Source organism: Homo sapiens, chromosome 7 (assembly GCF_000001405.40).
Source record: "Homo sapiens chromosome 7, GRCh38.p14 Primary Assembly".
In the NCBI taxonomy this organism is placed as follows: domain Eukaryota; kingdom Metazoa; phylum Chordata; class Mammalia; order Primates; family Hominidae; genus Homo; species Homo sapiens.
Window position 1 is genome coordinate 105537537 of NC_000007.14, and position 16956 is coordinate 105554492.

General features: G+C 42.8%; 1 protein-coding gene across 10 annotated transcripts in view; it reads left to right on the forward strand.

The window, feature by feature from the left end:
- RINT1 (RAD50 interactor 1) overlaps positions 1–16956 on the forward strand; it is a 35477-nt gene that overhangs the window by 5336 nt on the left and 13185 nt on the right. For 3 of the 10 annotated variants that reach the window (NR_144478.2, NM_021930.6, NM_001346599.2), the window contains exons 4-10: positions 4872–5113; positions 9374–9547; positions 9648–9797; positions 11018–11174; positions 12519–12629; positions 12725–12950; positions 14034–14171. Coding sequence is in view for 9 of the 10 variants with exons in the window: in NM_021930.6 (NP_068749.3) it covers positions 4872–5113; positions 9374–9547; positions 9648–9797; positions 11018–11174; positions 12519–12629; positions 12725–12950; positions 14034–14171 (1198 nt within the window). In the remaining variant the exon portion in view is untranslated. Of the gene's footprint in view, positions 1–4190; positions 4320–4871; positions 5114–9373; positions 9548–9647; positions 9798–11012; positions 11175–11292; positions 11432–12518; positions 12630–12724; positions 12951–14033; positions 14172–16956 lie in introns of those variants that run through there. The other 7 variants (XM_047420686.1, NM_001346600.2, NM_001346601.2 and 4 more) reach the window with 7 other exon arrangements.

A 16956-nucleotide genomic window follows, 5' to 3' on the forward strand; every position in this document is an offset into this window, starting at 1 on the left:
AAATATTTTTAGGCCTGGCACGGTGGCTCACACCTGTAATCCCAGCACTTTGGGAGGCCAAGGCAGGTGGATCACCTGAGGTCAGGAGTTTGAGACCAGCCTGACCCACATGGTGAAATCCCGACTCTACTAAAAATACAACAAAAAAAATTAGCCAGGTGTGGTGGCGGGCACCTGTAATCCCAGCTACTCGGGAGGCTGAGGCAGGAGAATCGCTTGAACCCAGGAGGCGGAGTTTGCTGTGAGCTGAGATCATGCCATCGCACTCCAGCCGGGGCAACAAAAGTGACACTCCGTCTCAAAAATATATATTTCTATGTATTTATAGGTTTTTTTTTCTTTTACAATGAACATATCACTTAAAATAATTTTTTAAAAACCCAATGAGTATAAGCTTAAACAAAAAAATAAGTAGGCCCCTCTACTTGGCAATGGTGTGTTTGTCAAAGATAAAACATTTTTTTCTTTTTTTTTGAGACGGAGTCTGACTCTGTCGCCCAGACTGGAGTGCAATGGCGTGATCTCGGCTCACTGCAACCTCTGCCTCCTGGGTTCAAGTGATTCTCCTGCCTCAGCCTCCCGAGTAGCTGGGACTACAGGCACGCGACACCACGCCCAGCTAATTTTGGTATTTTTAGTAGAGACAGGGTTTCACCACTTGGGCCAAGATGGTTTCGATTCCTTGACCTCGTGATCCGCCTGCCTTGGCCTCCCAAAATGCTAGGGTTACAGGCATGAGCCACCACACCCGGCCAAGATAAAACATTTTTATCATATAGCTACTAAATTAGGTTAAGTAAATTCTGTGTGGGTTATTTCCAGGTTTTTGGTCATCGTATATTCTCCTGTCCCCATTACCTTAGGCCTCCACACCTTCCTGTCTTCCCACCACAACTACTGCTAGTCTTCAAGTTTAGCCTGGCTTTGTCTGCCTTTTCACTCCTGCAGGCAGGTTGTTGTGGGCCCAGTTGGAGGAAGTCATGCAGCTGAGTAGATTGATGCCAATCTATGTGTGTGGTCTGCCACCCTGGCTGAGTCTTCAGCCCCACCAGCAGTCCTTCCATGGGAACGTCAGCTCCTCTGCTACTCCCCTCAACTGTTCTTTCAGATTCTGTTTGAGACATCTACCCAACCTGTCCATTCTGCCCTTTCCTTTTCCCTAGCAGAAAAAAATAGAAGCCTAGCATGAATTTAGTAGCATTGAATTCAGTCTGTTGAATAGTCTATCCCACAATCGACAAATTTATGTGCAGTCATTTTTAACCTCTTCATTCAGCAAAGGATCAGTCGAAGGCAGACCTTATACCCCAGGTTCTCTCTGCCACCTCAGTAAACTTGTGTCACTCTTATAATTTTACCCTGTGTTCGTCAACCAGTCCTATCCCTTCAGCATGTGCACATAGACAGGTCTTTTCCATAAAACCTTAACAAAGAAACAAAAAAACCCATGATCTTTTAGCAGGTATTAGTTCTTTCCTTTGATTGTCAGGCTTCAGAAAGTAACCTTTGTTATCTATCTCTACTTTTTGTCATTCATCTTTTACCCACTGTAATCAGGTTTGTTTCCCTAATGACCACAGAAACTTTTACTGAAGTTCCTTATTGAACCTTAAATTCAGCATGTCCAAAACTATACTGATCCATTTTTTAGAGGCTTGTCTGTCTTGGTTAGATAATGGCACCACTATTTGCCTGTCACCCAGACCTGAAGCCTAGGAGTCCTAGATTCCTTCTTATCATCCTCTCATCCTCTATCCCATCACCAAGTCATCTGAGTTCAGCCTCAACATCTCTGGTATCCATCCCATCTTTCCCACTCTTTTTTTTTTTTTTTTTTTTTTGAGTTGGAGTTTCACTCTTGTTGCCCAGGCTGGAGTGCAATGGCACAATCTTGGCTCACTGCAACCTCCACCTCCTGGGTTCGAGTGATTCTCCCGCCTCAGGCTCCCAAGTAGCTGGGATTATAGGCATGTGCCACCACGCTCGGCTAATTTTGTATTTTTGGTAGAGATGGGGTTTCTCCATGTTGGTCAGGTTGGTCTCAAACTCCCAACCTCAGGTGATCTGCCCGAAAGTGGATCTTGGCCTTCCAAAGTGCTGGGATTACAGGCGTGAGTCACTGCTCCCGGCCCATCTTTCCCACTCTTGCTGATACCATGTTAGTTTAGGCAGATTGGGAGCTTTGTAGAAATGCAGAATCTCAGTCTTACTTCAGACTTACTGTATCAGAATCTGTATTACAACAAGATCTTTAGGTGATTAATGTGCCCATTCATTAAATATAGCCTGTCTATTTTATTGCATTAATCCCACTGTTGAAATTATTTGCTTACAACACTCTTATATACCAAAGTGACCTGAAGGACGGATGCTGTGTCTTGTTTATCTGCATATTTCTAGCGCAGTGCCTGGTACAGAATAAGTATCTAATCACTGTTGATTGAAATTATTCTATAATGTTCTTTGTATTTTGCTGATGACTAATATTTGTATATGTTTTCCCACATACTATAAGAAAAATTCACTTAATAAATGCCATTTTCTTTTTTTTTTTTTTTTTGAGATGGAGTCTTCCTCTGTCGCCCAGGCTGGAGTGTGGTGGTGTGATCTCAGCTCACTGCTACCTCTGCCTTCCGGGTTTCAAGTGATTCTCCTGCCTCAGCCTCCTGAATAGCTGGGATTACAGGCATGCGCCACCATCCTCAGCTCATTTTTGTATTTGTATTTATTTTATTTTATTTTTTGAGACAGAGTCTCACTCTGTCGCCCAGGCTGGAGTGCAGTGGAGCGATCTCAGCTCACTGTAACCTCCGCCTCCTGGTTTCACCAATTCTCCTGCCTCAGCCTCTTGAGTAGCTGGGATTACAGGCTCATACTACCACACCCGGCTAGTTTTTGTATTTTTATTAGAGACGGGGTTTCACCATGTTGGCAAGTGTGGTCTCAAACTCCTTACCTCAAGTGATCCACCAGCTTCTGCCTCCCAAAGTGCTAGGATTACAGGCATGAGACACTGTGCCCGGCTGAATTTTTGTATTTTTAGTAGAGACAGGGTTTCACCATGTTGGCTAGGCTGGTCTCGAACTCCTGACCTCCAGTGACCTGCCCTCCTTGGCCTCCCAAAGTGCTGGGATTACAGGTGTGAGCCACTGCACCTGGCCACTAAATGCCCTTTCTAAAGGCATTGCCTGGATATCATCTCATCAAGTCAGTGCTTCTTAGCCTGGCCTTAATTCAGAATCACCTGGGGTATGTTGGCAAAATATAGATGCTCAGCCTGTTAGAATGAGATCTTTGTTTCCTTTTTTTTTTTTTTTTTGATATGGAGTCTCGCTCTGTCACCCAGGCTAGATGGCAGTGGCGCAGTCTCGGCCCACTGCAACCTCTGCCTCCCGGGTTTAAGAAATTCTCTGCCTCAGCCTCCCAAAGTGCTGGGATTACAGGTATGTGCCACCATGCTCAGCTAATTTTTTTGTATTTTTTAGTAGAGACAAGATTTTGCCATCTTGGCCAGGCTGGTCTTGAACTCCTGACCTTGTGATCCACCCACCTTGGCCTCCCAAAGTGCTGGGATTACAGGTGTGAGTCACCGCACCCAGCTTGCATTTTTTTTTTTCTTCTTTGAGGAGTCTTGCTCTGTCACCCAGGCTGGATGGAGTGCGGTGGTGCAGTCTCAGCTCACTGCAACCTCCTCCCGGTTCAAGTGATTCTTGCCTTGGCCTCTCTAGAGCTGGGATTACAAGGTGTGTGCCACCAAACCTGGCTAGTTTTTGTATTTTTAGTAGAGATGGGGTTTCATCATGTTGGCCAGGCTGGTCTTGAACTCCTGACCTCAAATGATCCGCCTGTCTTGGCCTCCCAAACTGCTGGGATTACAGGTGTGAGCCACCGTGCCCGGCCCTTCCTTTGCTTTGAAGGAAAATATTTAGCAGGTAGAGCATGTATTAATAAGTTTTCTCGGCCTGGCACGGTGGCTTATGCCTGTAATCCCAGCACTCTGGGAGGCTGGGGTGGGCGGATCATGAGGTCAGGAGTTCGAGATCAGCCTGACCAACGTGGTGAAACCCCGTCTCTACTAAAAATACAAAAATTAGCCGAGCGTGATGGCACGTGTCTATAATTCCTGCTATTTAGGAGGCTGAGGCAGGAGAATCACTTGACCCCGGGAGGTGGAGGTTGCAGTGAGCTGAGATCACGCCACTGCACTCCAGCCTGGGTGACAGAACGAAACTCTGTCTCAAAAAAATAAAATAAGTTTTCTCTAGCTGGATCCTCTGCTGAGCCTATGGAGGCAGACCTCTAGATGCTTACTGGAGCCAGTGAGTTAAGTCCCTTTCTCTACATGTATGTGTATATGTATGTATGCATATATTTTTTATTTTATTTTTATTTTTTTGTTTCACTTATTGTTTTCAACACAAAGGCATACTTCTTCCTGCTATTTGTGTGTATATAAAACAGCATGTTATGTTTGGATTGATTAGTACAGGATGAAGAAATCAAACCTTTTTTTGAAGGTTTTGATGGATGATTTTCAGTTCTGTTACAAAAAATGTGTATTTTGAAGGGAACGAACTAATAAAAAAGGTTACATACAGCCTGGGCAACATAGTGAGACCTTATTTCTATTTAAAGAAAAAAAAAAAAGAAAAGCCAGGTGTAGTGGTGCATATGTGTAGTCCCAACTACTGGGGAGGTTGAGGTGGGAGGATTGGTTGAGCCCAGGAAGTCCAGGCTGCAGTGAGCTATGATGGTACCACTGCACTCCAGCCTGGGCAACAGCGTGAGATCCCCTCTCAAAAAAAAAATTATGAAAATTTTATCTGATTGCTGCTGTTCTTTCTTTCTTTCTTTTTTAAAATTATGGTCAGGTACTTACAATTTCATCAGAAATTCCTAAAAGAATTCGAAGTGCCTTAAAAAATGCAGAAGAATCAAAGCAATTTCTTAATCAGTTTCTGGAGCAGGAAACTCATCTCTTCAGCGCCATTAACAGCCATTTGCTGACTGCGCAACCTTGGATGGACGATCTTGGAACCATGATTAGCCAGATTGAAGAGATCGAACGTCATCTTGCTTACCTTAAATGGATTTCACAAATTGAAGAACTAAGGTAAAATGGGCCTCTTTGTTCTCACAATTACTATTTTCCTTTGAGGCTTCTGTCTTAGAGAGTACATGTGTGCCATTAAATAATTGAGTTAATTAAAGATTATAATAATATAATTTTACCAGTTGTTGTGAAAATAGCATTATGATAATGATTCTTTTCCTTTATTGTGAGTGAACATAAGCTTTTCAGGGAGCTTAATTAGCATTTGAAAGAAGGTAATGTAAGTACGTTAAACTTTTAAGTTTTTTTTTTTTGAGATGGAGTCTCGCTCTGTCGCCCAGCTGGAGTGCAGTGGTGCCATCTCGGCTCACTGCAAGCTACACCTCCCGGGTTCATGCCATTCTCCTGCCTCAGCCTCCCGAGTAGCTGGGACTACAGGCGCCCGCCACCATGCCTGGCTAATTTTTTTTTTTGGTATTTTTAGTAGAGACGGGGTTTCACCATGTTAGCCAGGATGGTCTCGATCTCTTGACCTCACTGTCCGCCAGCCTCGGCCGCTGGAAGTGCTGGGATTACAGGCATGAGCTACCGCGTCCGGCCAAACTTTTAAGTCTTACAGTTGGATTATGAACACATGATAAAAACTATTCTTTGTAATGCCAAATTAATAAAACACAAAGTTTGGTAATAGTTATTCTTATTTAATTTTTAGAACTGGTCAGTTAATGAAATGGATTGCTTTTGTATAATTTGAATATTTTTCAGTGGGAATCATAAGAGCTACACAGTATTCTTGGATGAATAACAAGAGTTCTGCTACCTCTGGGTAGGAAAAACAAAAAAGGAAGTAAGGCTTGACCTTAGTTCTTTTTGAGTTGAATACCTATCACTGGTAGTTAATTGTATCTAGCTTTGCCTTTCAGACAACCCAAAGTAACATTTCCACCTAGATTAGTAGATGATAAGGTCCCCACTATCCTTGCATTGTTTTAACTAGTACTTGCTGCAGAGCTGTCAGCAACCATTAATTTTGCCTGGAAAACCTGAGGGAGAAAAGTCTTCTGGGAGTCTTAATGTCCTGTTTCAAATGTATCATAGTTAATAAACCTGATATTACTTTTGTTATGGATATGTTTTATGTATTTCTTTTTCTTGCATATATTTCCCAAAATTTTAAAGAATTTTACATATCAATATAATATAGAAATCTTTGTTTTTAGGCCAGGTGCAGTGGCTCACACCTGTAATCCCAGCACTTTGGGAGGCCGAGGCGGGCAGATCACGAGGTCAGGAGTTTGAGACCAGCCTGACCAACATGGTGAAACCCCGTCTCTACTAAAAATACAAAAAAAAAAAAGAAATTAGCCAGGCATGGTGGCGCGTGCCTGTAATCCCAGCTACTTGGGAGGCTGAGGCAGGGGAATTGCTTGGACTCGGGAGGCAGAGGTTGCAGTGAGCTGAGGTTGTGCCATTGCACTGCAGCCTAGGCAGCAAGAGCGAAACTCCGTCTCAAAAAAAAAACAAAAAAAACAAAAAAACTTTGTTTTGCATGTATGAGGAGTTTTACATATAAAGTGGTTTAGAACATCTCATTCTTGTTTAGATAAATTATTTGCAGTGAAGGAATTTTAAACCTTGCTTTATTTTACTGCATTTCTCCTTGTCCCTCAGAAAGGAAATATCAGTAAGGGGCAATGTTAATAACTTTATTAAGTAAAATACGTTATTTGAAAACCTCACTCTTGTAGTAGCCAAAGTAATAGATTAACTAAATTAGGTCCATGGTTATTGATAAACTTTTCTTTTTTCTTCTTTTTTTTAACATTTATTTTATTTATTTTAATTTTCTTTTTATTTTTTTTTGAGTTGGAATCTTCCTCTGTTGCCCAGGCTGGAGTGCAGTGGCACAATCTCAGCTCACTGCAACCTCCACCTCCCGGGTTCAAGCGATTCTCCTGCCTTGGCCTCCCGAGTAGCTAGGACTACAGGTGTATGCCACCACGCCCAGCTAATTTTTGTATTTTTAGTAGAGATAGGGTTTCACTATGTTGGCTAGGCTGGTCTTGAACTCCTGACCTCAAGTCATCTGCCTGCCTTGGCCTCCCAAAGTGCTGGGATTACAGGTGTGAGCCACTGCACCTGGCCTTGATAAACTCTTCAGATATCTGAATTGTTTATAAGGGAAATATGCCGAGGGATTTATATTAGAAATAGGGATCAAATTCATAAGCAGGTAGAGCACAGTTATTTTTCTGTCTTTAATAATGTGTTATTTCCCTGAGGTCTTTTATGATAATCTCTCCATTTCCAGCTTTCCTTTAGAGCTTCTGGGATTTTCTTCATCTCTAAATTTTTTTATAATGGCCTATTTTTATTCTGATGTACATTGTCTTTTTTTCAAGTAGTTTCTTCTTGCTAGAATTAGCATCCTTACATTAGCTCTGTTTCTTGGATACTATAGTATAGCACTATCACTCTGAGTGAACCTTGTTTCTCTAGCTTTTCCTATGTTGTAAATGTCATTCATACTTTAGTGTTGTGAGGAAATCTATTTCATTCCTTCCTTAAAAGCAGTACTCCTGCCGGGCATGGTGGCTCATGCCGTAGTCCTAGCACTTTGAGAGGCTGAGGTGGGCAGATCGCTTGAGCTCTGAATTCTGTGACCAGTCTGGGCAACATGGCAAAACCCCATCTCTGTTTAAAAAAAAAAAAATCAGCCAGGCTTGGTGGTGAGCACCCATAGTCCCAGCTACTCGGGAGGCTGAGGTAGGAGGATCGCTTGAGCCCCGAGAGGTTAAGATTGCAATGAGCCGTGATTGTACCACTGCACTGCAGCCTAGGTGACAGAGTGAGACTCTTTTAAAAAAAAAAAAAAGGCAGTACTCATATTCTGTTTGTACATTTGAAATTCTTCTGTAATATTTGTATATATATATATATATTTTTTTTTTTTTGAGATGGAGTCTTACTCTGTTGCTGAGGCTGGAGTGCAGCGGCACCCTGTCAGCTCACTGCAACCTCTGTCTTCTGGGTTCAAGCAATTCTCCTGCCTCAGCCTCCTGAGTAGCTGGGATTACAGGTGCCCATGACCACGCCTGGCTAGTTTTTATATTTTTAGTAGAGACGGGAAGGGTTTCACCAAGTTGGCCAGGCTGGTCTCGAACTCCTGACCTCCGGTGATCCACCCATGTTGGCCTCCCAAAGAGGCCACCACGCCTGGCCTCTTTTTCTTTGAGACGGAGTCTCACTCTGTTGCCAGGCTAGAGTGCAGTGGCATGATCTTGGCTCACTGCAACCTCCGCCTCCCGGGTTCAAGCAGTTCTCCTGCCTCAGCCTCCCGAGTAGCTGGGATTACAGGTGCCCACCACCATGCCTGGCTAGTTTTTATATTTTTAGTAGAGATGGGGGATGGGGAAGGGGGGGCGGGGGGCGTTTCACCAAGTTGGCCAGGCTGGTCTCAAACTCCTGACCTCCGGAGATCCACCCATGTTGGCCTCCCAAAGTGCTGGGATTACAGGGTTGAGCCACCAAGCCCCGCCTGGAATTATATTTCTTTGAAGTGGGAAATCAAGTTCAGCTGGGCAAAGTATGTAACAATTGAAGACCATCATACTTGACTTTACCAGATACTACCACATTATTCCCTTGGATTAAGATACTGAAGACTTTGTAAAAGGCAGATTTATCAGAAATGAGTGGTGCCCAAAGGAATATGACACAAAACAGGTCTGTCAGGAGGAGTAGGAAGGGAAAGGTCCCGGGAGAGGTCTTGAACATAGGCTGCAGGCTGCTGCTCTTAGAAGAATGCAGAAGTAGAGGACTCTAGGCTCCCAGAGAGGCCTTGGTAAAAGGCCTCAGGGTGGTGCTTTGTTAAAAAACAAAGGCTACCTCAGGGTGGTGCTTCATTCTTCCTTGGATGTAACTTTATATAAAACATGAAGAAGAAGCACTTTTTCCGAATTTGAAATTATTCTGAGCAATCCGTTCTTTAAATTTGCTTTCGGCTGGGCACGGTGACTCACGCCTCTAATCCCAGCACTTTGGGAGGCCGAGGCGGTCGGATCACTTGAGGTCAGGAGTTCAAGACCAGCTTGGCCAACATGGTGAAACCCTGTCTCTACTAAAAATACAAAAAATTTAGCCAGGCATGGGGGCGCATGCCTGTAATCCCAGCTACTGTGGAGGCTGAGGCGGGAGAATCACTTGAACCTGGGACACAGAATTTGCATTGAGCCAAATCATGCCACTGCACTCCAACCTGGGCAACAGAGTGAGACTCTGTCTCAAAAGAAAAAAAAATTTGCTTTACTTTGTTTACAGTGATAACATTCAGCAATATCTGATGACCAATAATGTACCGGAGGCAGCCTCCACTCTAGTGTCTATGGCAGAACTTGACATTAAACTTCAGGAATCATCTTGTACTCATCTTCTTGGTTTCATGAGAGCCACAGTTAAATTCTGGCATAAAATTCTCAAGGACAAGCTTACAAGGTAGGGAATTTACCCATATTTTGTGGTAATTGCTTTCCGATGGGTATTTGGTGATCATTTGGTGATGTACTGAAATGTATGTGTTACTTTTCCATTGCAGTGATTTTGAGGAAATTTTAGCACAGCTTCATTGGCCATTCATCGCACCCCCTCAATCACAAACTGTTGGCTTAAGTCGACCTGCCAGTGCCCCGGAGATATACAGTTACCTGGAGACACTGTTTTGTCAGCTTTTGAAACTACAAACCTCGTATCTTTGTTGCAGCTGAAAACTTACTAAAATTTCTTTTTTCTAGAATGGGTTTGTGGCTAGAGAGTAAAACTTTTTCAAAGTGGCCAAGAAAGCCAAATAAGAATCCTGTGTTTGGACTTGGTCTGTAAATGTCCACTGAGTGGTGGACTGTACTCTTGCAAAGTGAATTGCTTGTAGGTGTGAGGGCTGTAAGGAAGAGTTCCGGGATACATGACTGATCCAAGTTCATAGCACAAAAAGGTCTCTTGGGGCAACAGAACAAATGGGCAATTGGGAGGAAACCTTTAGTGTCATAGCGTGAATTTAATCAAATGATACTTGAATTTTTTTTGTTACTATTTTAGGAAAGATTTATAGATTAATTCTAATACCATTTTTGTGCTTTTTTTTTTTTTTTTTTGAGATGGAGTTTCGCTCTTGTTGCCCAGGCTGGAATGAAGTGGCGTGATCTCATGATCTCGGCTCACCACAGCCTCCACCTCCCGGGTTCAAGCGATTCTCCTGCCTCAGCCTCCCGAGTAGCTGGGATTACAGGCGTGCACCACTATGCCCAGCTAATTTTGTATTTTTAGTAGAGACGGGGTTTTTCCATGTTGGTCAGGCTGGCCTCGAACTCCTGACCTCAGGTGATCCACCCGCCTCAGCTTCCCAAAGTGCTGGGATTACAGGTGAGAGCCACTGCACCTGGCTCATTTTTGTGCTTTTTTTAAAGACATGGTCTCACTTTGTCACCCAGGCTGAAGTGCAGTGGTGCAGTCATGGCTCACTGCAGCCTTGACCACCCAGGCTCAGTTGATTCTCCCACCTCTTCTTCCTGTGTAGCTGGGACTACAGGCACGTGCCACCATGCCCCGCTAATTTTTGTTGTTTTTTGTAGAGATAGGGTTTTGCCGTATTGCCTAGGCACGTCTCAAATTCCTGTGAAGTGGCCCAAGTGATTAGCCTGCTTCAGCCTCCCAAAGTGCTGGGATTACAGGCATGATTCACTATCATCATGCCTGGCTTTTTGTGCATTTTAACTGAATGTATATTCAATATAAAGAATTAACTGTATGTTTATTCAATATAAAATTAGGTTACATATTATTTGCATCATAATTAACTCTACTGAGTATCTGATACATTTGTTGGAAAAATTTATTGTGTGTGTATACATACATATGTGTGTGTATATTAGGTATGCTTTTGATTCTTTTTCCTTGACTTGATTATGTCAGAGATGAATTACTTACTGAGCCAAAGCAACTCCCAGAAAAATACTCTCTTCCTGCCTCCCCTTCTGTCATCCTGCCCATCCAGGTTATGCTGACTCCTCTTCAGAAGAGGTTCAGGTATCACTTCAGAGGGAACCGGCAGACTAATGTGTTAAGCAAGGTGTGTTTTGCCAGCTCTTGTCCTTGGTTTTTATTGGTAACAAATGTTAGAGTTTCTATACCTTTGCTGGTTTAAGTTAAAATCTGACTCTCTTCACATTTCTGTTTTTTTTCTAAAGGGCTACATTCCTGTTTTGTTACTGCTGTTCATACATATAATTGAGGACTTGTGTTCATATACTGTAGGAAAAATGGTATTTCCGCTCTTGGGCATCAGATATTGCTGAGTTATCATTGCAAAACAAAGCAAAGCAAATAGTAAGCACTTGGTATTTCTTTTCTTTTTTTTTTTTTGTGAGTTGGAGTCTCGCTCTGTCACCCAGGCTGGAGTGCAGTGGCACAATCTCTGCTCACTGCAACCTCCACCTCCCAGGTTCAAGCGATTCTCCTGCCTCAGCCTCCCAAGTAGCTGGGACTACAGGCACATGTCACCACACTGGACTAATTTTTGTAATTTTAGTAGAGATGGGTTTCACCATATTGGTCAGGCTGGTCTGGAACTCCTGACCTCAGGTGATCCACCTGACTTAGCCTCCCAAAGTGCTGGGATTACAGGAGTGAGCCACTGCGCCTGGCATGTACTTGGTATTTCTGCTCTTAAACCTGTATAAGACATGCGTAGTTTTTGTAATGCAGACTAGCAATTTTTTTTTTTTGGAACGAAGTTTCACTCTTGTTGCCCAGGCTGGAGCGCAATGGTGTGATCTCGGCTCACTGCAACCTCTGCCTCCCGCGTTCAAGCGATTCTCCTGCCTCAGCCTCTTGAGTAGCTGGGATTACAGGTGCCCACCACCACGCCCAGCTAATTTTTGTATATTTAGGTGAGACGGGGTTTCACCATGTTGACCAGTCTGGTCTTGAACTTCTGACCTCAGCTGATCCACCCACCTCGGCCTCCCAAAGTGCTGGGATTACAGGCATGAGCTGCCACGCCTGGCCAGCAATTTTTTTCTTGATTTACTTTTTGAAAATAAAAACCATAAGAAAATAATATTAAAATTATTTTCAAATGCTATTTCAAAAAATATAGGCCATCAGTTCTTTGTAATACTCATCATTTTACATATTATTGAAGTGCTAGGTTTTAAATATATATGGCATTGTAAATTTATGAGTTTATTGACTTAAGTCATATTATTGAAATTTGTTGGGAGTACATTAGCAAACATTTGATTATTAAGCCTTGCAGGAGTTTAAAATTTGGAGTAGAAATTGTGCTCTTACATACAGGAATTTTCAACTAATTTTTATAAGTGTTGTGCATATACAATTAAATAGAACCATGTAATTGTAACTTTCTAATTGGAATGACTTAAGAATTCAAACTATTTTCCTCCTTCCTTAGCCAGAATGGTACTTGGCTCAAGTACTTATGTGGATTGGAAACCATACTGAATTTCTGGATGAGAAGATTCAGCCAATATTAGACAAAGTAGGCTCTTTGGTAAACGCAAGGGTAAGAGACTCAGTCATAAGTGTTTCTGTTTTAGAACTGTATGTGTGCATGGATAACTTTTTATTTACATACCTCATGTTTGTGTATTTTTTTAGCTTGAATTTTCTCGGGGCCTTATGATGCTGGTTCTTGAGAAGTTAGCCACTGATATTCCTTGTCTGCTATATGATGACAATCTCTTCTGTCATTTGGTGGATGAAGTACTCTTGTTTGAAAGGGAGCTACACAGTGTTCATGGCTATCCTGGCACTTTTGCTAGTTGTATGCATATTCTATCAGAGGAAACCTGTTTTCAGAGATGGTTGACGGTGGAGAGAAAATGTAAGTGCTGATGTGGCCAGATGGTAGGGAGATATGTCTGTTTCTGTGGGTATACATTTTTGATATTTTTCTTCTCCAGTTCTAAATAGGAACTAGAGCCATTTGAAATTTCCTTTTCAGGGTTTTCTGTTTCCTTCAGAGATAATCTTTTCTTTACTTCACATGAAACTTCCATTTTTCCTGAAATTACACTCTACATATTTCTAGAGTGGAATAGTCAAGCCAGTGGGGTGTTTGTTTTATAGATTTTATCATATAATTTATTTTATTTTTATTTATTTATTTTGGGACAGACTCTTGCTCTGTTGTCCAGGCTAAAGTGCAGTAGTTTGATCTCAGCTCATTGCAACCTCCACCCCCTGCGTTCAAGCGATTCTCCTGTCTCAGCCTCCCGAGTAGTTAGGATTACAGGCACGCACTACCACGCCTGGCTAATTTTTCTGTTTTTAGGAGTGACAGGGTTACAACATGTTGGCCAGGCTGGTCTGGAACTCCTGACTTCAAGTAATCCACCTGCCTTGGCCTCCCAAAGTGTCAGAATATTTTATTTTTTTATTTTTGAGATAGGGTCTCACTTTGTCACCGAGGCTAGAGTGGAGTGGGCCGATCATGGCTTACTGCAGCCTCGACCTCTGGGGCTCAGGTGATCCTCCTGCCTCAGCCACCCCAGTAGCTGGGAGTATAGGTATATGCAAGCCATGCCTGGCTACTTTTTGTATTTTTTGTAGAGATGGGGTTTCCCTGGGGTTTTGCCCAAGCTGGTTGTGAACTCCTAGACTCAAGCAATCCACCCACCTTGGCCTCCTGGAGTGCTGGGATTACTGGTGTGAGCCACCGTGCCTGGCCAATAGAATATTTTTTACTGTAGCTTATCTAGTCAACATAACTATTTTCAGAATTTGGGGATGGGAGTAAAGTATCCTGTTTAAAGCATTAATTAAGTTAAATTTAGTACAACCAGTGGGATATTGTAGGTTTGTTTCTTTTTTATAGAAAAGCCATCATTCCTAAAAAATTACAAGTTGAATAATTAGGAACGACTGTAACTACTTAATTGACATAATTGTTTTGTCTGCTTATCAGTTGCTCTTCAAAAAATGGACTCAATGCTTTCCTCAGAAGCTGCCTGGGTATCGCAATATAAGGATATCACTGACGTGGATGAAATGAAAGTTCCAGATTGTGCAGAAACTTTTATGACTCTACTCTTGGTTATAACTGGTAAGTATGTCTTTTAAGATATGACTTTGTTTTAAAAGTACTGTTTTCACGTGGTAGTTTTTAAAGTAGCTCAGTAGGCTGGGTGCAGTGGCTCATGCCTGTAATCCTAGCACTTTGAGAGGCTGAGACGGGCAGGTTGCTTGAGCCCAGGAGTTCGAGAACAGCCTGGGGTACATGGTGAAATGCCCTCTCTTCCGAAAAAATACAGAAATTAGCCAGTTGTGGTGGTGTGTGCCTGTAGTCCCAGCTACTTGGGAGGCTGAGGTGGGAGGATTTTTTGAGCATGGGAGGTAGAGGTTGCAGTGAGCCATGATCACGCCACTGCAGTCCAGCCTTGGTGACAGAGTGAGACCCTGTCAATAAAGTAATCAATAAATAAGTGGCTCAGCAAATTAATATTATATGATGGTTGTTATCTTCAAATTCAGTTTCTATATTGGTAGAAATCTAACACAATATTCTAACTTTTGGGTTTTTAATAATTTAAGGATTTAAACATTGGTATACATGAAGGAAAACTTCCTGAATAATTACACAAAAACAATTAAATAGGAATTTAATTTTATTATCCAAACTGTCTTGCTATTGGGCTTTTTAGGTGTCTTCAGTAAATGGTGATTGGCCTATATTTTAAATATTGTCTTGATCTTGATTTATCAAAGATTGCAGAAGAGAGTAAAATAATGAAGTAATTTTAAGGATTGGAGTAGTAATAGGAACTTTTGTTACAGTGCAGGGATTCTCTGGCTGGAGGGTAGCCTAGCATCCTCTGGCCCTGGTTGGTCTTTAGCCAATCACGTTGCCCCCTTGTGGGCCTGCTTGTTGTCCAGGTGCCACTGGACCCTCATTGCCACCATCCCTGGCCCTCTTCACCTTCGTCAACCACTAGCCTGTCCGTTTCTTAGGCTTGTCTGGTAACCTGAAGAAGTATCATTCCAGCCCAGTCAGTAAATAATTCCTTTTTTTTTTTTTTTTTTTTTTTTTGAGATGGAGTCTCACTCTGTCACCCAGGCTGGAGTGCAGTGGCATGATCTCGGCTCACTGCAACCTCTGCTGCCCAGGATCAAGCAATTCTTTTGCCTCCGCCTCCCAAGTAGCTGGGATTATAGGCACCTGCTGCCACGCCCAGCTAATTTTTGAATTTTTAGTAGAGACGGGGTTTCACCATCTTAGCCAGGCTGGTCTTGAACTCCTGACCTTGTGATCCACCTGCCTCGGCCTCCCAAAGTGCTGGGATTACAGGCATGAGCCACCGTGCCCAGTCATCATTCCATATTTTTAACTATAAGAAAAATATGAAAAATACTAAGACAAAAAAATTAAGGAAAATTCATGTCTCTTAAAAACTTTTTATTCAGAAAATTTTCAAACATACACAAAAGTAGGATAATATGATGAACTCTCAGGTACCTATTGCCAAAGTTTAAAGCAATTATCACTTTTCTGTTATATTTTACTCCTCAATTTTTTTTTTCTGGAGTATTTCAAAGAAAATTTCAGACATCTCATCATGTCAATTGTAAATTCTTTTTTTTGAGACAGAATTTCGCTCTTGTCACCCAGGCTGGAGTGCAATGGCGCAATCTCGGCTTACTGCAACCTCCGCCTCCTGGGTCCAAGCAATTCTCCTACCTCAGCCTCCTGAGTAGCTGGGATTACAGATGCCTGCCACCATGCCTGGTTAATTTTTTTTTGTATTTTTACTAAAAATACAAAAATTTACAGGCAGTTGGCCAGGCACGGTGGCTCACACCTGTAATCCCAGCACTTTGGGAGGCTGAGGTGGGCAGGTCACGAGGTCAGGAGATCGAGACCATCCTGGCTAACACAGTGAAACCCCGTCTCTACTAAAAATACAAAAAAATTAGCCAGGCATGGTGGCGGCTCTACTAGAGATGGGGTTTCATATTGCCCAGACTGGTCTCGAACTCCTGACCTCAGGTGATCCACCTGCCTCGGCCTCCCAAAGTGCTGGGATTACAGGCGTGAGCCACCATGCCTGCCTGTAAATTGTCTTTTTTTTTTTTCTTTGAGACAGAGTCTCGCTCTGTCGCCCAGGCTGGAGTGCTGTGGCGCAATCTCGGCTCACTGCAAGCTCCACCTCCTGGGTTCACACCATTCTCCTACCTCAGCCTCCTGAGTAGCTGGAACTACAGGCACCCGTCACCATACCCAGCTAATTTTTTTTTTTTTTTTTTTTTTTTTTTTTGAGATGGAGTCTCACTCTGTCGCCCAGGCTGGAGTGCAGTGGCGCCATCTCAGCTCACCGCAAGCTCTGCCTCCCGGGTTCACGCCATTCTCCTGCCTCAGCCTCCCGAGTAGCTGGGACTACAGGCACCCGCCACCACACTCGGCTAATTTTTTGTATTTTTAGTAGAGATGGGGTTTCACCGTGTTAGCCAGGATGGTATTGATCTTCTGACCTCGTGATCCACCCGCCTCAGCCTCCCAAAGTGCTGGGATTACAGGCGTGAGCCACTGTGCCCGGCGAATTTTTTTGTATTTCTAGTAGAGACAGGGTTTCACTGTGTTAGCCAGGATGGTCTTGATCTCCTGACCTCGTGATCCACCCACCTCGGCCTCCCAAAGTGCTGAGATTACAGGTGTGAGCCACCGTGCCCGGCCAACTGCCTGTAAATTCTTAAATGTGTATCTTTTAATTTATTGAAGTTCTTTCTTTTTTAAAAAAATGCTGTTTATTTGTGTTGAAGAAACTGTCATTTTTTTTTCTTTCTTTTTTTTTTTTTGTTAGATGGAGTCTCACTCTGTTGCCTAGGCTGGAAAG